Raw genomic sequence first — 22,041 nt, 5'->3', positions numbered from 1 at the left:
AAGCTGCAGACACTCAGCAAGTCCATGAAAGCAGCAGGGAAGGAGGCTTTACCCTGCAGAGCCACAGGGGCAGAGCAGCCCAAGACCATGGGAACCCACCTCTTGCATCAGTGCAACCTGGATGTGAGACATGGAGTCAAAGATCATTTTGGAGCTTTAAAATTTGGTTGCCCCAGTGGATTTCGGACTTGCATGGGGCCTGTAGCCCCTCTGTTTTGGACAGTGTCTCCCATTAAGAATAGGTGTATTTACCTCATTCTTATACTCCTATTGTATCTAGGAAGTAATTAATTTGCTTTTGATTTTACAGGCACAAAGGCAGAAGGGACTAGCCTTGTCTCAGATGAGACTTTGGACTGTGGACTTTTGAGTTAATGCTGAAATGAGTTAAGATTTTGGGGGACTGTTGGGAAGGCATGACTACTTTTGAAATGTGGGGACGTGAGATTTGTGAGGGGCCAGGGGCAGAATGATAAGGTTTGACTGTGTCCCCACCCAAATGTCATCTTGAATTCCTATGTATTGTGGGAGGGACCCAGTGCGAGGTAATTAATCTTGCAGGCAAATCTTTCCCATGCTGTTCTCATGAGAGTGAATAATTCTCATGAGATATGATGGTTTTAAAAATGGGAGTTTCTCTGCACAAGCTCTCTTCTCTTATCTGCCACCATGTGAGACGTGCCTTTCACCTTCCACCTTGATTGTGAGGTCTCGCCAGCCATGTGGAACTGTAAGTCCAATAAACCTCTTTCTTTTGTAAATTGCGCAGTGTCAGGAATGTCTTTATCAGCAGTGTGAAAACTAATACACCCAGGCTGGAGTGCAGTGGCACTATCTCAGCTCACTGCAACCTCCACCTCAGGTTCAAGCAACTCTTGTACCTCAGCCTCCTGAGTAGTTGGGACTACAAGTGCATGCCGTCACACCCAAGTTTTTTGTATTTTTACTAGAGACTAGGTTTCACCATGTTGGCCAGACTGGTCTCAAACTCCTGACCTCAGGTGATCTACATGCCTTGGCCTCTCAAAGTGCTGGGCTTACAGGTATGAGCCACTATGCCTGGTGACTACATTTGTAATATTTTATATTTTATATAAGAAGGATACTCCTATAATGCTATGCACACTATGAAAGTTTATAATCTAAATGAAATGGAAAAGACTAACATATATGAAACAATAGGCATTTTTATTCAGTACTATTGCTGCTTTGATTAAATCTAGAGGAGAAAATATTCTCAAAAGAGATAGTACATAACACAAAGTGGAAGAAAGCTCCTATGTGTGAATTTAGATTCACAAGCTTTTTATAATAAAATATATTAATAGTAAATATTTTTGGCTTTTCTGGCCACACGGCACCTGTTGCAACTATTCAGTCTGCTGTCGGAATATGAAGCTGTTACTGACAATATGTAAATGAATGTGCATGGCTGTATTCCAGTAAAACTTTATTAACCAAAACTGGTGTTGAGCCAGATTCGGCCTGGGGACCATAATTTGCCAGCCCCGGTCTAGTTCATCACTTTCAAAGGGATACATCCCCTTTCCAATACGAAATAGCAAGAAAGGGACCAAGGCCAGGTAGAATTTTTGTAGATAACCCCTGAAATCCCAGAACATAAGAAACACTTATGTTTGAATATAATTTCAAGCAAATGTGATGGATGTTTTATTAATATATTGTTTTATATTATCCATGTAAATTTCTGCCTCCATTAGACAGATTCTTTAGACTTTCCCAACTAGACAAATCTCTTCCTAAGCTCCCTGTCATTAAATTTCCTTGGCAATTGAGATGGCTTTGACAAAAGTCTAGACATCAAATTTGGGTAATTAAAAGCTTACTTACACTTAAAAAGAAAAATAAAAGACTTTCTTTTTTTTTTTTTTTGAGATGGAGTTTCACTCTTGTTGCCCAGGCTAGAGTGCAATGGCGCAATCTCAGCTCATTGCAACCTCTGCCTCCCAGATTCAAATGATTCTCCTACCTCAGCCTCCCGAGTAGCTGGGATTACAGTCATGTGCCACCACACCTAGCTAATTTTTGTATTTTTAGTAGAGACAGAGTTTCACCATGTTGGCCAGGCTGTTCTCTAACTCCTGACCTTGTGATCCACCTGCCTCAGCCTCCCAAAGTGCTGGGATTGCAGGCCTGACCCACTGCGCCCAGCCAAGACCTTCTTTTCTATCACTGATATATGTCTGTTTTCTTAACTCTTTCCTAGAAATCCAAATATTTTGCTACATTAGAAAGTAGAGCAGAACAAACTATTGAATAAGTGCATCTTCACCACAACTTAAACATTATGACTTTTCACTCCACCCTCTACTGTGTAGATATATCACAACACATTCAAAATTGTGAACAGATAATGTTAGTAGCTGCAGTATGACCCTAAGTTATTTTAGTGATAAACTACTAATAAAAAATTTCAGGCCAGGCACGGTGGCTCATGCCTGTAATCCCAGCACTTCAGGAGGCGAGACAGATGGATCACTTAAGGTCAGGAGTTTGAGACCAGCCTGGCCAACATAGTAAAATCCCGTCTCCAATAAAAATACAAAAATTAGCTGGGTGTGGGGGCACATGCCTGTAATCCCAGTTACTCGGGAGGTTGAGGCAAGAGAATCACTTGAATCTGGGGTGACAGAGGGTGCAGTAAGCACAGATCACACCACTGCACTCCAGCCTGGGTGACAGAATGAGACTCCATCTCAAAAAAAAAAAAAAAGAAAAAGAAAAACAATTTCAGTGTTACCAAATACAATTATTAAGTTAGCTGGCTATTTTTTAAATTAATGTACTAATACTTCTCTAATATTCTTTCCCATGGAAAAATTATGAAAGTGATTCATCAATTATCATGATCCATTTACCACAAATAATAGTCAATATATATTATATGCCAGGCAATATGTAAAGTGTTAGACATTTATTTAACTATTTACTAGTCAAAGCAATTCTTTATAATGTAGGTACTATTATTACTCTCATTATACCATGATGAGAAAACCGGGCTATAAAGAGGTTGTAAAGCATGCCAAAGTCACACAGCTAGTAAGTAGCAGAGCTAGAATTCGAAAGCTGGTGGTCTAGGTTCCCAATGCTAATGAGGCCAAAGCCATGACTGTTTACACAGAAATGCTAGTCCACTGAATTGCCAGTATGCCCTACACTATGCCTGCAAAATATCACCATTGGCAAGAGGGATGATGAAACGAAAGTGGGAGGTGAATACAGAAAAATATAAGCCTCAACTGGTAAGTGAGGGAGAAGCACCTGAAAATTTATACCTAAGGACCCAAAAGTCATTATTCAACAAATGCTGTAAGTCAGTAAATCCTCCTTATAGACATGGCAAACACATTTATTTCAGGCTTTAGGATCAGATTAGCCTATATTTAGATACTAGTTCCACTACTTACTAGCTAGTTTTTTGACTAATTAAAATCTATGAAACTCAGACTACTCTTGTATAAGATCAGAACAATAATCCATGCTCCCCCATTATTATGGGGATTAGAAATGCTCATGGGGGACCAGAACATAGTGGGTGCCCCCCAAAATGGTATCTCTTACTAGTCAAAGTTTTGTTTGTTCACTTTTAAGTACAGAAATGAAAGCATTGCTATGATAACAAGTTGAAGAGATGCTAGAATCTGAATAAAGTTGAAAATCCATCCAAACATCTGAAAGACTTGTCTATATGAATTTTTGATTTCACATAATTTATGGATTATCTAAAAACATCATTAAAAATACAGCTATGATTAATCATTGCTATGGATGTTTGTGCCCCTCCAAATCTTACTGTAAAATGTGACTCTCAATGTTGGAGGTGGGACCTGGTTGGGGGGTGACTGGATCATGGGGGTGAATCCCTCATAAATGGTTTCACACCATCCCCTTGGTAATAAGTGAGTTCTCACTCGGTTCACACAAGATCTGGTTGTTTACAAGTCTGAGACATCCCCCTTCTCTTGCTCTTGCTATTGCTCTCGCCATCTGACATTCTGTCATGATTGTAAGCTCCCTGAGGCCTCGCCAGAAGTAGATTCAGCATCATGCTTCCCGTACAGCCTGCAGAATGGTGAGCCAACTAAACCTCTTTTCTTTATAAATTACCTAGCTTCAGGCATTCCTTTATAGTGACACAAGAATGGACTAGCACAGTCATAAAGACAAATTCTCTAGAAGACTGTCTCGAGTTTTCATCTGAAACAACTACATCTATCCAATTACAGTCATGTGTTGCTTAATGACAAGGATATGTTCTGAGAAATGCACTGTTAGGTGATTTTGTCTTTGTGCAAACAAGATAGGTGGTATTTACATCTAGACTGTACAGACGACTGTACACACAGACTATATGGTAGGGCCTATTGTTCCAGGCAACAAACCTATACAGTATTACTCTACTGAATACTCTAGGCAACTGTAATGCAATGCTAAGTGTTTGTACATCTAAACATATCTAAACACAGAAAAGGTAATGCTTTGTGCTACAATGTTAGGATGGCTATAACTTTACTAGGCAATAGGAACTTTTTAGTTCTATTATAATCTTATAGGCCGCGCATGGTGGCTCACACTTGTAATCCCAGGACTTTGGGAGGCTGAGGCAGGAGAGATCAGCCTGAGCAACATGGTGAGACCCAACCTCGACAAATGTTTTCTTCTTTTTTTTTTTTTTAATTTGTTGGGCATGGTGGCAGGTACCTGTGGTCCCAGCTGCCCAGTAGGAGGCTGAGGTGGGAGGATGGCTTAAGCCCAGGAGGTCAAGGCTGCAGTGAGCTATAATGATGCCACTGCACTCCAGCCTGAACAACAGAGCCGGACTCTGTCACAAAAAAACAATATATTTTATGGGACCACCTAAATATATGTGGTCCCTTGCTGAATGAAACATTGTTACATAAGGTGTATTAAGACATTATTTGAATTCATAGAGCTTCCTGCCTTGTCTGTGGCTACAGTATATTGTGAAGATACCTTCAAGCCTGGGCAAGCCTTACAGGACTAGGACAGGCTGAACATCCACCCGCCACCCCACTCTCATCTGCTCACTTTCAGTTTAAAGCAACACCCACATCTATTTTCCCCAATGCGCTACATAAATATTATCATTTCATTATTTTCTATGTGAGCCTTGATATATCAAAGATAGGAAAGAATTGTATTACTGGATGCCATCTGATACATTAGTCATTAAATAAAGAGGTAGTGGCAATCATACTTTAATGTAGCTAAATTATACTTCAGTAAAAATTTTTAATACATGATATATTAATTATATGACATTATGCACAATCATAAAACACAGATAATATTTCAAGGAGTTGTTGTTAATTCAGAAGACCAAAAGAACTATAGAAAGACATAGATACAAGCAAAAAAAAAGAAGAAATAAAGAGACCAAGTATATTCATAAAATTGTTTTAATTTTCTAATTTTCTCTAAGAGAGATAATGGGGCACACATCATACTTGCTGAACCCCATTCACAACCTGAATTTTAAAAAAAGGAAAAAAGCAAAATAATGTTATACAACCATATGATTATGATGACTAAAATAATAAGACACATAATTACGTTGCAATATTTAAACACAAATTGGCAATGACCTGGCAATTTAGGAGTAGTAAAGTCATAAATAAGGAAAAAGACATATCCCCATGGATGAGGTAGGCAGCAGAAAGCCTCAGGTAGGTTAAAGTTAGTGAGATTAATTCCAGCAGACAGCAAATTTCAACTGTTTTCTATTCATCCAGGTAGTACTAAGCAATTATTTTTCATGTAATTCCATTGTTGCCACTATGTGTTAGGTTCTGTTTTCAAATTTAAACCAACCTATTACATACCTTTATTACAGGAAAGCTTAAACGAAATGCATTTGTGTAAGAGATGTAGATACAAACTTCAGAATATTCATGTTAACCATCATTGATCTCTGCTTTGATGGAGGTGATTTTTGATGTAAAATAAGCCGAAATTACACTAAAATAATGGGAAAAGAGTTATGAATATAAAACTTTGAATTCATTAAGTATAACCAGAATATACATATATAGATTGTTTTCTTTATAGGAGAGTCTACTTTAGTTCTAATGGTACTGCTATTATTTAAGTATGTTAAGCAAAACAAATGAGTTTCTTAAACTGCAGTCTCATCACCTAACAAGTTTAGGTGTCTACAAGTTAATGATGATTACCAAAACAATTGTCTCAGTTCACTCAAGCTGCTATAACATAACAAAATACTATAGACTAACAAGACATTTGTTTCTCACAGTTCTGGAGGCTAAAATGTCTAAGAGCAAGGTACCAGCAGACCTGGTATCTGGTGAGGGCCCATTTCCTGTTTTACAGGCAGTGCTTTCTTGCTGTGTCCTCACATGGTGGAAGGTGCAAGACATCTCTAGAGTTTCTTTTCCTTGTTGTTGTTTTTTTTCTTTTTTTTTTTTTTTTTTTTTTTTGAGACAGAGTCTCGCTCTTTCGCCCAAGCTGGAGTGCAGTGGCGAGATCTCGGCTCACTGCAAGCTCCGCCTCCCGGGTTCACGCCATTCTCCTGCCTCAGCCTCCCGAGTAGCTGGGACTACAGGCGCCCGCCACCGCACCCGGCTAATTTTTGTATTTTTTAGTAGAGACGGGGTTTCACCGTGTTAGCCAGGATGGTCTCGATCTCCTGACCTCGTGATCCACCCGCCTCAGCCTCTCAAAGTGCTGGGATTACAGGTGTGAGCCACTGCACCCGGCCTTTCTTGTTGTTTTAAGACACGGTCTTGGTCTGTCGCCCAGGCTGGACTGCAATGGTGTGATCATGGCTCACTGTAACCTCACTCCCACCTCAGCCTCCCATGTAACTGGGACTACAGGTGCACACCACTATGCCCATGTAATTTTTTTTCTTTTTTTTGGAGAGATGAAGTCTATGTTATCCAAGCTGGTCTCAAACTACTGGCCTCAAGCAATCCCCCCACCTCAGCTTCCCAAAGTGCTGAGATTGAGCCAAGAAGCTCAGCCCTTGCAGTCTCTTTTATAGGACACTAGTCTCATTCACGAATACTCTTCCTTCATGACCTAATCACCTCCCAAAGGCTCCATCTCCTAATACCATCACCTTAGGGGTTAGGATTACAATGTATGAAACCAAGAGAGACATAAAACACTCAGTCCATTGCAAGTCAATTCAATTTTTGGCTATGTTAATACCAGAACAAAGCAGAGGAAATATAAGAAAAATATCCCACTATACTCTATGAGACGTGTATTAACAGAATGCCATTGTGCATGGCTTTATTTTTTTCTTTTGAGACAGAGTCTCACTCTGTTGCCCAGGCTGGAGTGTAGTGGTGCAATCAGGGCTCACTGCAGCTTGGAACTGCTGGGCTCCAGTGATCCTCCTGCTTCAGCCTCCCAAGTAGCTGGGATGACAGGTGCATGCCACCACGCCTGGCTATTTTTTTTAATATAATTTTAGATTCAGAGACCATATGTGCAGATTTGTTACATGCATACATTGTGTAATGGTGAGGTTTGGGCTTCTAGTGTACCCATCACCCAAATAATAAACAATGTATCCAGCAGATAATTTTTCAACCCTCATTCCCCTCTCCTTCTACACCCTTTTGAAGTCCCATTGTCTATGAATTCAATCTTTATGTCTATGTGTACTCATCATTTAGCTCCCACTTACAAGCAAGAACATGTGGTATTTGATTTTCTGTTTCTGAGTTATTTCACTGAGGATAATTACCTATAGGCCTCCAGTTCTATATGTGTTTCTGCAAAAGACAGTATTTCTTTTCTTTTCTTTTTTTTTTTTTTTTTTTTTTTTTGAGACAGGGTCTAGCCCTGTCGCCCAGGCTGGAGTGCAGTGGCACGATCTTGGCTCATTGCAACCTCGGTCTCCCAGGCTCAAGCCCAAGCGATTCTTGTGCCTCACCCTTCTGAGTAGCTGGTACTACAGGCATGCATCACCACGCCCGGCTAATTTTTGTATTTTTGGTATAGACGGAGTTTCACCATGTTGGCCAGGCTGGTCTTGAACTCCTGACCTCAAGTGATCCGCCTGCCTCGGCCCCGAACATTTTATTCTTTTTTATGACCAAATTGTATTCAGTTTCATTTATCCATGCAACTGTTGATGGACACTTAGGTTGATTCCATGCCTTTGCTATCGTGAATAGTGTTGCAATAAACATTCAAGAGCATGTGTCTTTTTTTGTATAATGATTTCTTCTAAGTAGATAAACAGTAGTGGGATTGCTGAATTAAATAATTCCATTTTTAGTTCTTTGAGACATCTCCACACTGTTTTGCACAGAGGTTGTACTAATTTACATTCCCACCAACAGTGTTTGTGTTCCCTTTTCTCTGCATACTTGCCAACACCTGTTTTTTTTATTTTTTAATAGTAGCCATTCTAAATGGTGTGAGATGATGTCTTATTGTGGTTTTAGTTTGTATTTCTTTGATGATTACTAATGTTGAGCATTTTTTCATGTTTCTTGGCTGCTTGTATGTCCTTTATCCACTTTGCAATGGGGTTGTTTTTCTTGTTGAGTTCCTTGTAGATTCTGGATGTTAGTCCTTTGTTGGTGGCATAATTTGCTAATAATTTCTCACATTCTGTAAATTGTCTTTTACCTCTGTTGGTTATTTCGTTTGTCGTGCAGAAGCATTTTAAGTTTGATGAAATCCTATTTGTCTATTTTTCTTTTTGTTACATATGCTTTTGATGACTTAGTCATAAATTCTTTGCCTAGGCCAGTGTCCAGAAGAGCTTTTCCTGGGTTTTCTTCTATAATTTTTATAGTATCAGGTTTTACATTTAAGTCTTTAATCCAACTTAATTTTTGTATAAAGTGAGAGATACGGGTTCAGTTTCATTTTTCTGTATATGGCTAGCCAATTTTCCTAGCAACATTTATTGAATACAGTGTCTTTTCTTCATTGTTTATTTTTCTCAACTTTATCAAAGATCAGTTGGTTGCAGGCACATGGCTTTATTGCTGGGTTCTCTACTCTGTTACATTGATCTGATCCTATTTTTGTACCAGTACTATTCTCTTTTAGTTACTATAGCCTTGTAGTAAAGTTTGAAGTCGTAATGTGAGGGCTCCAGCTTTGTTCCTTTTGCTTAGGACTGCTTTGGCTATTCGGGCTCTTTCTTGATTCCATACGAACTTTAGGATTGTTTTTTCTAATTCTGTGAAAAATGACATTGGTAATTTGCCAGGAATTGCATTGCATCTGTAGATTACTTTAGGCAGTATGGTCACTTTAACAATATTGATTCTTCCAATTCATGAGCAAGGAATGTTTTTTCATTTGTTTATATCATCCACAATTTCTTTCATCAGTGTTTTGTAGTTCTCCTTGTACAGATCTTTCACTTCCTTGGATAAATGTATTCCTAGGCATTTTACTTTCTGTGTGTGTGGCTACTGTAAATGGCATTGTGTTCTTGATTTGGTTCTCAGCTTAAATGTTAAATGCTTTCAACTTTTTCCCATTCAGTATGATGTTGGCTGTGGGTTTGTCATAGGTGGCTCTCCTTATTTTGAGGTATATTCCTTTTGATGCATAGTTCGTTAAGGGTTTTTATCATGAAAGGATGCTAGATTTTATTGAATGTTTTTTCTGATCTACTGAGATGATCATAAGATTTTTGCTTTTAATTCTGGTTAGTACAAGGCATTTTGAAAGAGATATTGAAAACAGAAGGGTAAGAGAAGGGTAATACATGAAAAATAGGGAGCATTAAAAAAAACCCTGGCCAGGCGTAGTGGCTCACATCTGTAATCCCAGCACTTTGAGAGGCCGAAATGGGTGGATCACCTGAGGTCGGGAGTTCGAGACCAGACTGACCAAGATGGAGAAACCCTGTCTCTACTAAAAATACAAAATTAGCTGGGTGTGGTGTCGCATGCATATAATAATCCCAGCTATTCGTGATGCTGAGGCAGTAGAATCACTTGAACCCAGGAAGCAGAGATTGCTGTGAGCCAAGATCACACCACTGCACTCCAGCCTGGGCAAAAAAGAGTGAAACTCTGTCTCAAAAAAAAAAAAAAAAAAGGAAATCTTCATTCATTCACTTGTTTCAAAAACTTTGCTGAGGGCTAATCTTAATCTTAATATTGAAGCTTTTAAATTATCTTGTGTTTCAAAGATCTCTGAGAAAATTATTTCCTTTGACAATGTTATCCCCATGTTTAAGAACATAAAATCTGTATATTGAGCATACTTACCAAATATTGATTTGAACCATTATTATTGCTTCTAATAAAACTCTCATTAATATCTTTTATATGTTGAATGTGTTTGTCTTGCAGGTGGTAGGTGATGGAGACAGAGAAAGAGAGATAAAGAAATACAGAGAGATACCTTGTTAACTCAGAGATATTCTAACAAATTTTTATAATGTCATCAGAGATTTTTCTACTCTGAATAATTCAAATCATTGAGCTTTTGCCTTAAAAAAATGCAGAATACAAAGAGATTTATCATGTGAGTGCAACTACTTCTGCTTTCTCAAAAGGTTGACCAGGCTTATGGTCTTTGAAAGGGCAACTGAGATAACCATGTGCTCAATACAATTAGAATATATCTAAACTTTTTAATGGTTTACCTATCTTCTTTTTCACACATCAAGTCAAATGGGTAGGGAAAGAGGCTTATAAACAAGAGAAAACCTAACTAACTATTGAACGAATTCAATCTGGCTAAAACATGGAATATAAAGAGGAATGGCAAGAGATGAAGTTAAATAGGCCAGATAATAAGGGTCTTACAGGTCATGTTAAGGTGATTAAATTTTATTCTGAGGTTAATGAAGAATCTTTGAAAGATGTGAAGCAGGGTTGTGATTTACTTTATAGTAAGATCATTTCTCTATCTCAAATGTGATAATGGACTTGGAAACACTACAAGCAAAGAGATCAGTTAGGAAGCAGTGGCATTAATCAGCTAAAAGATGAGTTTAAAAAGTTGGGAATCAAAAACGTATTTAAAATTATTTTATGTAAAAAACTATCCCTAAGCCTCCCATTACTGGACAGAAAGTATTAAACAGAAAGTATTAAAGACAAATCGTTAAATGATAGATCCTAGAGCAGTTTGCTTGTATGTAGCTGATGGCCAATGTTGGTCCAGACAGTATTTTAAAAAAATTTGCCAAACTTTAAAAATCAGGAAATTACATACACACAGGCACATACATCCAGATTTGTAGCCTCTCTAGGTAACAGGAAGATGTTGTAACCTGGGCCATCATTCCCACATAGTAAAAATTGACTACAGCTGGTTAGTGATTACTCATCTTAAATAGGGCATACATTCTCCAGTTTTTTCGAGTCTGTGCAATTTTTTACTTATCAGCATGGATACCATCTGTTAATTACCATTGATCACCTCTACACTTCAGTCGTCTATTTCACCTACATTGCCTCTACAGGCATTTGAGATTGGGACTTGTGTATAAAAGAATATGTAAATACTTTACTTAATTTTTAAAAATGACATTCTGTCATTTAAAATGACATTTTAAAATGACATTCTGTTTTTAGGAGGAAATCAGTGAGTGACAGAAACACAATATACTAGAGATTTCTGAAAGAAACATGTACAAGGACATGAGAAAGTTAACAGAATAATTCCTTGTATCATCAATGTAGGAGTAATCACAGGTCTTTATTTAACTTGGTACCACATATCACTTGGTGTCACTTTGGTCTCATAACAACTCAAATCTCTTCTCTCCAAAAAAGAAAAAGTACATTTTAAAAGTTCAACTTGGATTTAAAACTTCTCAAAATGAACCAAATACACAATCAGCTGTTCATTAGCTAACTACCTCATCTAGATTTTCTTCAGATAAAATTATTTTTAAAGTGATTAAAAAAGAGAAAGAACAGAATACCAAAAGTAAAAGCAGAAACACTTGCCATTTTAGATTACCTTACCAGAAAAGTATTCTAATATTTGTACCAACACTATTTTCAATTAAATCTAATAAGCAAATATAATTCCAAGGATATGAAAAGGAACTGCTAAGATAATTGTTCTGAAAGCACTCCAATTAAAGATGAAAATACATAATGCTTTATTTTGGCAAAAGAATGATCCAGTGGCACAGACAAGCAGTGACTTCTGTAACATTTAATAATCTGTAGACAAAATGCAAATAGCAACAACCCCCAAAACCTCTATAATATAAATCTTAATCAGAATATAAAACTGTGTTAATTTTCTCTTATAGAAAATAAAACAAAAAATAATCTTCACATCACAACCTACGTTGTAACCATACGTTTTACTATATGAACATCTAATTCATTTTAAAAATTAATATTAAAAGTAATTATAGCAAGGGAGCTTTTCGCAATTTATTCCTGGCTAATATTACATTTTAAAATATGTTTTTAAAACCTAAAGAATAATTTAAATTATAATACTGACAAATATTAGACTTTGAAAGTCATTTATTTTTTCCAAAATTCTTTATTTTTTCAAATTTCAAAATCACTATTCTTTGTATATATAACAACATTTACAGAAATGACTTGTGTGATTTTTTTACCATTTAGCATAAAGACATGTCATTTGTAATTTTCTTTTAAGTGAAAAATAAAAATTTAGTAAAAACAGTACTATATATCAGAGAGTTGTTCCACAACTAACTTATGATTTTAAGCAAAAGTAATATAAAAATGAAAAACTTGTATTAGACAAGAGTATACAGATCAATTTTTATCATCTTTGTTAAATGAATAATTTCATAGAAAGCCTTTCAAATTCATTCAAATGAATACCAAGATACATATTAAATAAGCTGATTTTCCTAGGGCAACTGTAAGAAATGAATTGCCAAGTCCAGTCAACTTCTAAAGGCCCTGTGAGCTCTTCTAAACCCAACTCTAGGTTAGTAAAGTAGAATTACCAGGCAGAAGTGGAACGTCTACAAATAGAAGGTGAGTTACTGTGTGTACCGATGTCAAAGTAGTAAACTCCTTACTCCCCCAAGACAGGAGGAAAAAACAAAGGTCTCATTAAGTAGATAGTATTTCCTTTCACATATACAGCAGTGGGTCAAATGAGGAGATGCATAACTGATATCTGAACAACGAAGATTTTAAAGATATAATGACTAATGTCATTAACAAATGAAATTGCTCTCAGAATACTGAAAAGATGCAATGAGGAAAAAACGTGCTATTAATATTTTAGAAGTGCTTGCTCTGGGAACACAACATTTACAACTCCACTAAGAGAAAACAAAGGGAGGCAGTATGAAGACCATGAAATATAAACAAGTTTTTGTTTGCCAATGCAGTTGTACAACAGTATGAAAATCAACAATAAATACTTTATGGCATTCTGGTAGCAAAAGAAGCCAAGCACTTGGGTCAACCTGCCATTTTTTCTCTATTCATGTTTTGTTACTGCTTTTGCTCTTTCCTCCTAATCTACAACTTCTTATCATTTCTTTTCCCTTTTGCCTATGTTTAATGTCTGTTTTTATCTAAGACTGCTATTATCATTCATCTAAAGGGTCCTTTCCTTTTTCTAGGCACTGTATTGAGAAAATGTCTAAACTGGCCTGAGATAACCTTGAATCACTGTTGTCAATAATGTTGCCAAACATAATTCCATGATTCAATCCAATTATATATTATCTCAACTTTACTCAGCCTTTAAGGGGTTTTTTTTTTTTTCCAATTGTCAGTTCTCTGATTTCAACTACTTTTCCTAAAAGATTCTCTAGTTCAACCAAATATTTGTTCTATAAAACTTGATCACACATCTATAATATTTATTAATATAGTACCTGATATACTAAAAGCTGCCCCTTTAACAGTATATAGCCTAGCAAGAGTGACAAGCCCTGTAAAATGTGCTAAGTAGTTTATAATGAAAACACATACTGAAAGCTATAATGTAATTAACTAGCAGTTACCATTTGCCCAACTCCATGTTAAAGACTTTTCAAGACACCATTTCGTTTTATCCTCAAGGAAGAGGATTTTGCCCCATTTTTAAAAATGAGAAATGGAGATTGTTCAAGGACACATAGCCAGTGCATGGCAAAAGAGAATTTAAAGCAAGATTTTATTAATTCCAAACCTAGGGGCTTAACAGTTACAAGTCTTAAAAGAATAACAAAGTATGAGCCCAATAGAAAAGGGCTATCCTGTGTTTATACTATATTCATATCCTCCTATATACATGCATCTCCCAACCTGAATGCCTTTTCTGAAATACTATTTTTCTCTCCTTTAGAACTTGCTCCAAACTCACCTCATGATTCCTTCCTGATAATATTGCTTCACTATAATTGCTCCCTCAGAATCTTTGTTTCGTTTCTGAAATATATTTAGAGTATTAAATTTGAACTCATTTGTAAACATTCTTTATAAGTAATTTCACAGGTGAGTATTCTATGACCTCAACTAGGTATTATCACACTTGGAAGTAGGTAGCAAGCCAGTATTTCTTTTGACCAGCCTCGGGTACCCAGTGTAGTAATTTACTAATGGTGACATAAAAGTAATTCTTGGGGGAGCACAAATCAATGATGAAAGAGTTTTTACTGAGTAAAAAGCAGTACTGTTATTTTCTAAATTGTCTTTAGTTATACTCTCCAGAGGTTGATAATAAAACATCATACATTAGATCAAAGAAAAATAGAAAAAAATTTATAAAATTTTGAGGAAAGAATAAACAATAACATAAAAGCAAATATACTCCTATGAAAAAAGAGCCCAAATGTGAAATAGGATCTACAATGTACAACTTCATCTATTCATGTATACAAATATTTTCATTTCCCTATAGAAAAGACTACTTAATAACTGTTTAGTAATTAGTCAACTCTCTTGATAGTGAAACAAATAAAAACATACATAATCCTTGATTAGATTCATGGATATAACTGAATATAAGCATTTCATATTTTATGTCTTGAATTGGGAATTTTATATAGCAACTGGTTTTCTATTATAGATATTTTTCATATGGCTTTTTATATAATCATTTTTTCTTATGAAACATATACATAGAGACTTTGTTGTTGCTCTTGCCTCAGACTATGTTTAAGGCAGCGAGTGGCATGTGAAGTGCGACCACAGCCGTTAAAGCTAGGAACAATACACATTCACAATTTTAAAACATTAAAATATAAAATTAAAGGGCAAAATATGGAGCATCATTTTTACAAAGGTACTGGGTGGAAAATTCATTATCTTAACAGTGAGCAACAGAATCATTCTTACAGAGGGAATTAATTTAGAAAAAAAACATTGATAATTCACTTGGGGTGAAAATAGGATCAAAGAGCCTGCTATGTTAGGTTCCAGTATATAAATAAGGATAGCTAATTTGCTTTGCATCATAAATGATCAAAAATGTAAGGATAGGTGGGTACAGAGAAGAGGGCTGACAAGGGGAAGAGAGAGAGAAAAAGAAGACATCAGCAATACTGAATTAAACAAAGGCAAGACATGACGCTGAAGGAAGTGGCAAAATTAAAATCTGGTGTTAGAGTAACAAAAGGACTTTCAAGAACAGATGTCTCATATTTCATGTGAAATTCTTTGTTAGTCCTACAATGAAGTGCTGTCCCTCCAAATCCAGATATTTATAATAAGGTGTAATTTTTTATGTCTTTTGTGGGTAGATTTTGTAAATGAAGATGAATTTCAAATCTGGAACAACACAATGGAAAAACATTCAGCAAGCATACATGACAAAAAGATCTCTAAACCGAATTTATTCAGTAAAAGCAAGAGCTCACAGAAAGCAGCAATATTGACAATATGAAATTCCTCTTTTACCTTACCTCTGCAAAGGATTTTGTAATTCCAAATGAAATAAGAGTCCAGTGGATCTTACCAATCTTTGGAAACAAACAGATACAGTCTAAGGAATATTTGAAATTTACATGAAATTAGAAAGATGCCAGTTATATAATTAACTATAATTTAAATATTGATATTCATTAAAAATAGATAAGATAATTAAATTGGTATGTACTGGTGAAAAAATAAATCATTAAGAGAAGTAGATACTTAGAATAAATTATCTAGATGGAGATATATACAATACCAGCATGTCATTGAAATTCAAGCTTATGGCTGGGTGTGGTGGCTCACGCCACACCCAGGGAAGTGTAATCCCAGCACTTCAGGAGGCCAAGGCAGGTAGATCAGGAGATCAGGAGTTCAAGACCAGCCGGACCAACATGGAGGAACCCTGTCTCTACCAAAAATACAAAAGTTAGCCAGGCGTGGTGGCACACGCTTGTAATCCCAGCTACTCAGGAGGCTGAAGCAGGAGAATCGCTTGAACCCGGGAGGCAGAGGTTGCAGTGAGCCAAGATCACGCCATTGCACTCCAGCCTGGGCAACAGGGAGAGACTCTGTCTCCCAGAAAAAAAAAAAAAAAATCAAGCTTATTTGGTGGCACTGGTCATCTTTGTTCAAAAGAAACTATAGGTTTCCACTTAAATCAAGGTGAAGTAACAGATACCAGGCTTTATGTGCCCATCTTATTAAGAAAACCAGAGTAACTATATAAAAACACTGTTTTCAGGCAATGAACAAGAACACTGAACTATGACTCTGAGAGAAGGGAAACAAGAAGATCAATCCCCATGCAGTCTCCAAGAGGTAGCAGAGAAAGAAGGAAGCCACACAGAGCTTTGCTATCTCACTGAGTTGAGGAGACAGAGATCCGTTTGGGGAGGCCAAGGCAGCTAAAATTTGTGGGAAACAATACTGAGATACTAAGGCTATCCAAAAATAGATCTCTAAAGATCTGCATGGAGATCCATTCCAGATATTAACTCACAATTGATCTGCCGACGTGTGAGTAGAAATCACTTAAGACCAGAAAAAGAATCACTGGAAAATTGTAGAGCAAACAATTTTCAGAGTTCTCAACAGTTCAGAAGACAGATTTCCACCATTTATAATGAAGAGACACCCAAGAACACTGGGGACATTCAGAAGAGACCCCAGAGAGTCATGCTTTAGTGAGTGCAGCTGGAGAAAAAAAGACATATCATCTACAAGAGAACAAAGATGAGAATTACAGCCAACTTTTCATCAGAAACTATCAAAGACAATGGAGCATACTTTAAAGCACTAAAAGAAGACAGTGAAATCATCAATTTACCAATCTAAGCCCAATAAAAATATCTTTTAATAATTAAATACGTTTTTCAGACAAAAACTCGAAAAATTATTGCTACTACATCAGAAATGATAAACCAAGTTCTTAAGGTAGATGTAAAATTATATAAATAGAAATTTGCATGTATACAAAGTTATAAAAATGACAAATGTATGATAAAGCATATAAGGATTCTCAGTTTAAACACTTTAAAAATAATTGTTTAAGGCAAAAATTATTGTAGGGTTTAGTAAACTTATAAAAGTAAGAAAACAGGCAAGAGGAAGAAAAATGGAAGTATACTATCTGAAGATTCTTATACTTTTACATGAAGTGAAATAACATTATTCGGTGGTAAACTCTGAAAAGTTAAACATCATGTTGTCAACTTTGGAGTAAACACTAAACAAATAAACAAAAAGACGCACATGCTGAGACGAGTGGAAACAAAATATCATAAAATATGTCCATTTTATCTAAAAGAAAGAAAAAACAGGGTGACAGTAACAAGAAAAAAAAACAGATAAGAGAAATAGAAAACAAACACCAAGATAGATTTAAGCCTACACATAGAAATAATTACATGGAAATTAAATGGTCTAAATACTCTAATTAAAAGGCAGAGCTTGTCAAATTGAATTAAAAAAAACTATTTACCATCTAACCAGAAAAACTACTTGAAATATGAAAAAAAATAGATTAAAAGTAAAGGCTGAAAGATGAATAATACGCAATCACTAACCAAAAGAAAGCTGGAATTTCCATATTAAATCAGAAAAGAAGTTCTGAGAGCAATGAGTAATATTAATACAAAGAAGAGAGTTACACAGTGATAAAGGGGTCAATTCATCAGGAGAACATAATAGTCCTAAAAGTTCATGCATTTAATAAATATCTTTAAAATACATGAAATAAAAGCTTACAGAACTTAAAGAGAACTAGAAAATATGTAAATTAGAGACTTCAACATGTCTTTCTCAGCAATTGATAAAACAAGTGGAGAAAAAAAATCAGTACATATACAGAAGACTTAATACCATTAACTGACTTGATCTAATTAACATTTGTAGCCCATTCCGTATTTATAAAGTCCATGTGGAACAATCACCAAGATGGATCACGTTCTGGGTCATAAAAAAATCTTAATAAATTTAAAAGATTAAAATTATACAAAGTATGTTTTTCTCACCATAACAGAATTAAATTATAAATCAGTAACAGAAATATATATGGAAAATCCCAAATATTAGAATCCCAAAATTCTTTCAAATGACACATGGATCAACAGAATTATAATAGAAATTAGAAAACGTTTTGATTGAAAGAAAATGAACACACGTCATGTCACAATTTATGGAAAGCAATTAAGTCAGTGCTTAGAAGTAAATAGGCTTAAATGCTCATGTTAGAAAAAGAAAAAAAACTCTTAAATCATCTTGCTTAAGCTTCCACCTTAAGGAAGTTAAAAAAAAGTAAAAAAATTGAACCCTAAAATAAACAGAAAGAAGAAAATAATAAAGGTGAAAGCAGAAATCTATGAAATAGAAAATGGACAAACAATACAGAAAATCAAAAAAACCAAAAGCTGGTTATTTAAAAGAATCAATACAATTGGTAACCCTCTAACCAGATTTATCAAGAAAAAGAAATGAGAGAAGACATCACTCAGATTATACATGCATCAAAAGCATAAGGAGAAAATATTATGAACAACAAATGCCAATATATTCAATAACTTAGATGAAACAAAAAAAATCCTTGAAAGATGTGAGTCAACATGAAATAGATAATACAAATAACCATTCTCAAAGAAAGATGTTAAACTTAAGTTTAAAAACCTTCTCAAAACAAAATTTCAAGCCTATCATAGCCTCACTGGAGAACTGTATCAAACGTTTAAGCAAAAAAAATAAAAATAAAAATAAATTGATTCAACATAAACTTTTTTCAGAAAATCCAAGAGGAAGGACATTTCCCAACTCGTATGATGAAGCCAACATTATACTAATTCAAAACCAAAAACATTACAAGAAAGGAAAACTACAAATCAGTATCTCTTATGATCACAGACATAAAAATAAGTCCTTAACAATATTTTAGCAAATTTAATTTCCCAATATATAAAACACATAATAAAACATGACTAAGTGAATGCAAGATGGACTTATGATTCAAAAAATATATTATGTAATTCCCCATAACAAACTAAAAAAGAAAAGCAAAAAAAAATGATCATCTCAACAGATGTCAAAAGGCATTTCAGAGAATTTGACACCTATTCATGATAAATATTTTAGGCAAAGTAGAAGGGAACTTCTCAATCTTATACATGGCATCTGTTAAGGACTGCACTGCATCCCCCCAAAATTCGTATGTTGAATCTCTAACCCTCAATCTGACTGTATTTGGAGATAGGGTCTTTAAGGGCATAATCAAGGTAAAATAAGGTAGCAAGGGTGGAGCCCTGATCTGATAGGAAGATAGCCCTAATTAGAAAGGAAGAGACAGCTGTGCTCGGTGGCTCACGCCTGTAATCCCAGCACTTTGGGAGCCCGAGGTGGGCGGATTACGAGGTCAGGAGATCAAGACCATCCTAGCCAACATGGTGAAACCCCGTCTCTACTAAAAATACAAAAAAAAAAAAAAAAAAAAAAAAAAAAAAATTAGCTGGGTGTGGTGGCGGGAGCCTGTAATCCCAGTTACTTAGGAGGCTGAGGCAGGAGAATCGCTTGAACTCAGGAGGCGGAGGTTGCAGTGAGCAGATACCATGCCACTGCACTCTAGCCTGGCAACAGAGCAAGACTCCGTCTCAAAAAAAAAAAAAAAAGAAAGAAAGGAAGAGACACCAGAGCTCGCTCTCTCTCTCTCTCCACCCACTATGAGAAAATAAATTGCCATTATTTAAGCCACCCTGTTAGTGATATTCTTTTATAGCAGCCTGAGAAGACTAATAAAGCATCTCTGAAAAGCCTACAGCTAACATCCTTCTTTATATGGTGAAATACTGAAAGCACTGAATGCTTTCTCTCTAAGAAACAAAAAAGGATGTCTGCTATTGCCACTTATATATTCAATATTGTACTGGACACATAAGCCAGTAAAAGAAGGCAGGAAAAAGAAAAAAAAAAGGCATACAGTTTGAAAACAAAGGAAAAAAATATATTTTCAGGAAAGAAAAATTGTCCATAATTGTCCATGCAGAAAACGCTGAGGAATCCACACGAAGATACTATAACTAATAAATGAGCTTACCAGGTACACAGGATACAAAGTCTACATAGAAAAATCAAAAGTGACATTTCTATATAATAACAACAAAAATTAGAAATTAATTGTTATTATATACTTTTTGAGATGTGTTTGCCACATTACCCATGCTGGTGTTAAACTCGGGAGCTCAAAGACATCCGTCCACCTCGGCCTCCCAAAGTGCTAGGATTACAGGCGTGAGCCACTGCGCCCAGCCAGAAATTAAAAATTTTTTAAGTGCCACTTCAAATGACACCAAAATATGAAATGTTTAGGAATGTTTTAAATATATGCAAGTCTTGTGCCCTGCAAATGACAAAACTTTGCTGACACAAGTTAAAAATGACATCAATAAGTGAAAAGACAACAACTGAGTCTTTCAGTTTATGAAATACTCAATATTGTTACAATGTCAATTCTCCCCAAATTGTTCTATTGACCAACAAAATCGAAATTAAAATTTCAGCAGGCTTTTTTGTAGATGTTGGCATATTTTTCTTATACTTTATGTGGAAATACAAAGGACATTAGTCATTAAGGAAATGCAAGTTAAACTACTATACACCCAGGGACCGGGTGCGGTGGCACACGCCTCTATTCCTGGCACTTTGGGAGGCCGAGACGGGCGGATCACAAGGTCAGGAGATCGAGACCATCCTGGCTAACACAGTGAAACCCCATCTCCACTAAAAATACAAAAAATTAGCCGGGCATGGTGGCAGGCGCCTGTAGTCCTAGCTACTCGGGAGGCTGAGGCAGGAGAATGGCATGAACCCGGGAGGCGGAGCTTGCAGTGAGCCGAAATCGTGCCACTGCAGTCCAGCCTGGGCAACAGAGCAAGACTTCGTCTCAAAAAAAAAAAAAAAAACCACTAGATATCCAATAGCTAAAATTTAAAAAACTGGCCATACTAAGTGTTGGCAAGCATGTGAAACACCTAGAATTCTCATACATTGCTAGCAGAAATGCAAAATGGTTCAGACATTTATAAAACAAGTTGGCAGTTTTTTATTTTATAAAGTTATATATGTAAACATATACTTACTTCAACTCATCAATCTCACTTCTTTTTAATTTACCCTAGGAAAATAAAAACTTATATCCATGCATGGACCTGTATGAGAATGTTCATAACAGCTTTATTCATAAAAGACAAAAACTCAGCTTAACTCATGATACCTAAATGTTCATATGTGGATAAACAAGTTGTGGGATAGCCATAACACTGCTCAGCAATAAAAAGAACAAACTACTTGAACATGAACAACATAGATGAATCTCACAAGCATTATCCTGAGTGAAAAAAGCCAGACATAAAAGACTATCTGCTGTAGTCTTTTATGTAAAACCTAAAAACTGTTGTGTAGAAAGCAGATCAATAGTTGCCAGAGTTCAGCAATAGAGGAGGAGGACTGACTGCACAGAGATGTAAGAAAAATTGTGGAGAAGGAAATATTCTCTATTGAATGTAGTCGGCTATATACCTATTAATGCATGTATACAAACTGTACTTCAATAAGGGTGATTACAAAAATAAGAAGAAACTGTATTGAAATGTATTAAAAAAATCAGTGAGAAAAACTCATAGGTATTTCACTGGAGATGGAAGGA

General features: G+C 35.8%; 1 protein-coding gene across 11 annotated transcripts in view; it reads right to left on the bottom strand.

The window, feature by feature from the left end:
* Positions 1-22,041, bottom strand: part of NAALADL2 (N-acetylated alpha-linked acidic dipeptidase like 2) — a 1,369,567-nt gene that overhangs the window by 1,281,136 nt on the left and 66,390 nt on the right. For 3 of the 11 annotated variants that reach the window (XM_017006071.2, XM_017006073.2, XM_017006076.2), the window contains exon 1: positions 5,865-6,000. The exons of 7 other annotated variants lie outside the window; for them this stretch is intronic. The gene's annotated coding sequence lies outside the window, so the exon portion shown is untranslated. Of the gene's footprint in view, positions 1-5,864; positions 6,001-10,259; positions 21,293-22,041 lie in introns of those variants that run through there. One more of the 11 variants, XM_017006074.3, reaches the window with a different exon arrangement.

Source organism: Homo sapiens, chromosome 3 (genome assembly GCF_000001405.40).
Source record: "Homo sapiens chromosome 3, GRCh38.p14 Primary Assembly".
NCBI lineage: Eukaryota > Metazoa > Chordata > Mammalia > Primates > Hominidae > Homo > Homo sapiens.
The sequence above is the reverse complement of the archived record's forward strand: the minus strand, read 5'-3'. Positions and strand labels throughout refer to the sequence as shown.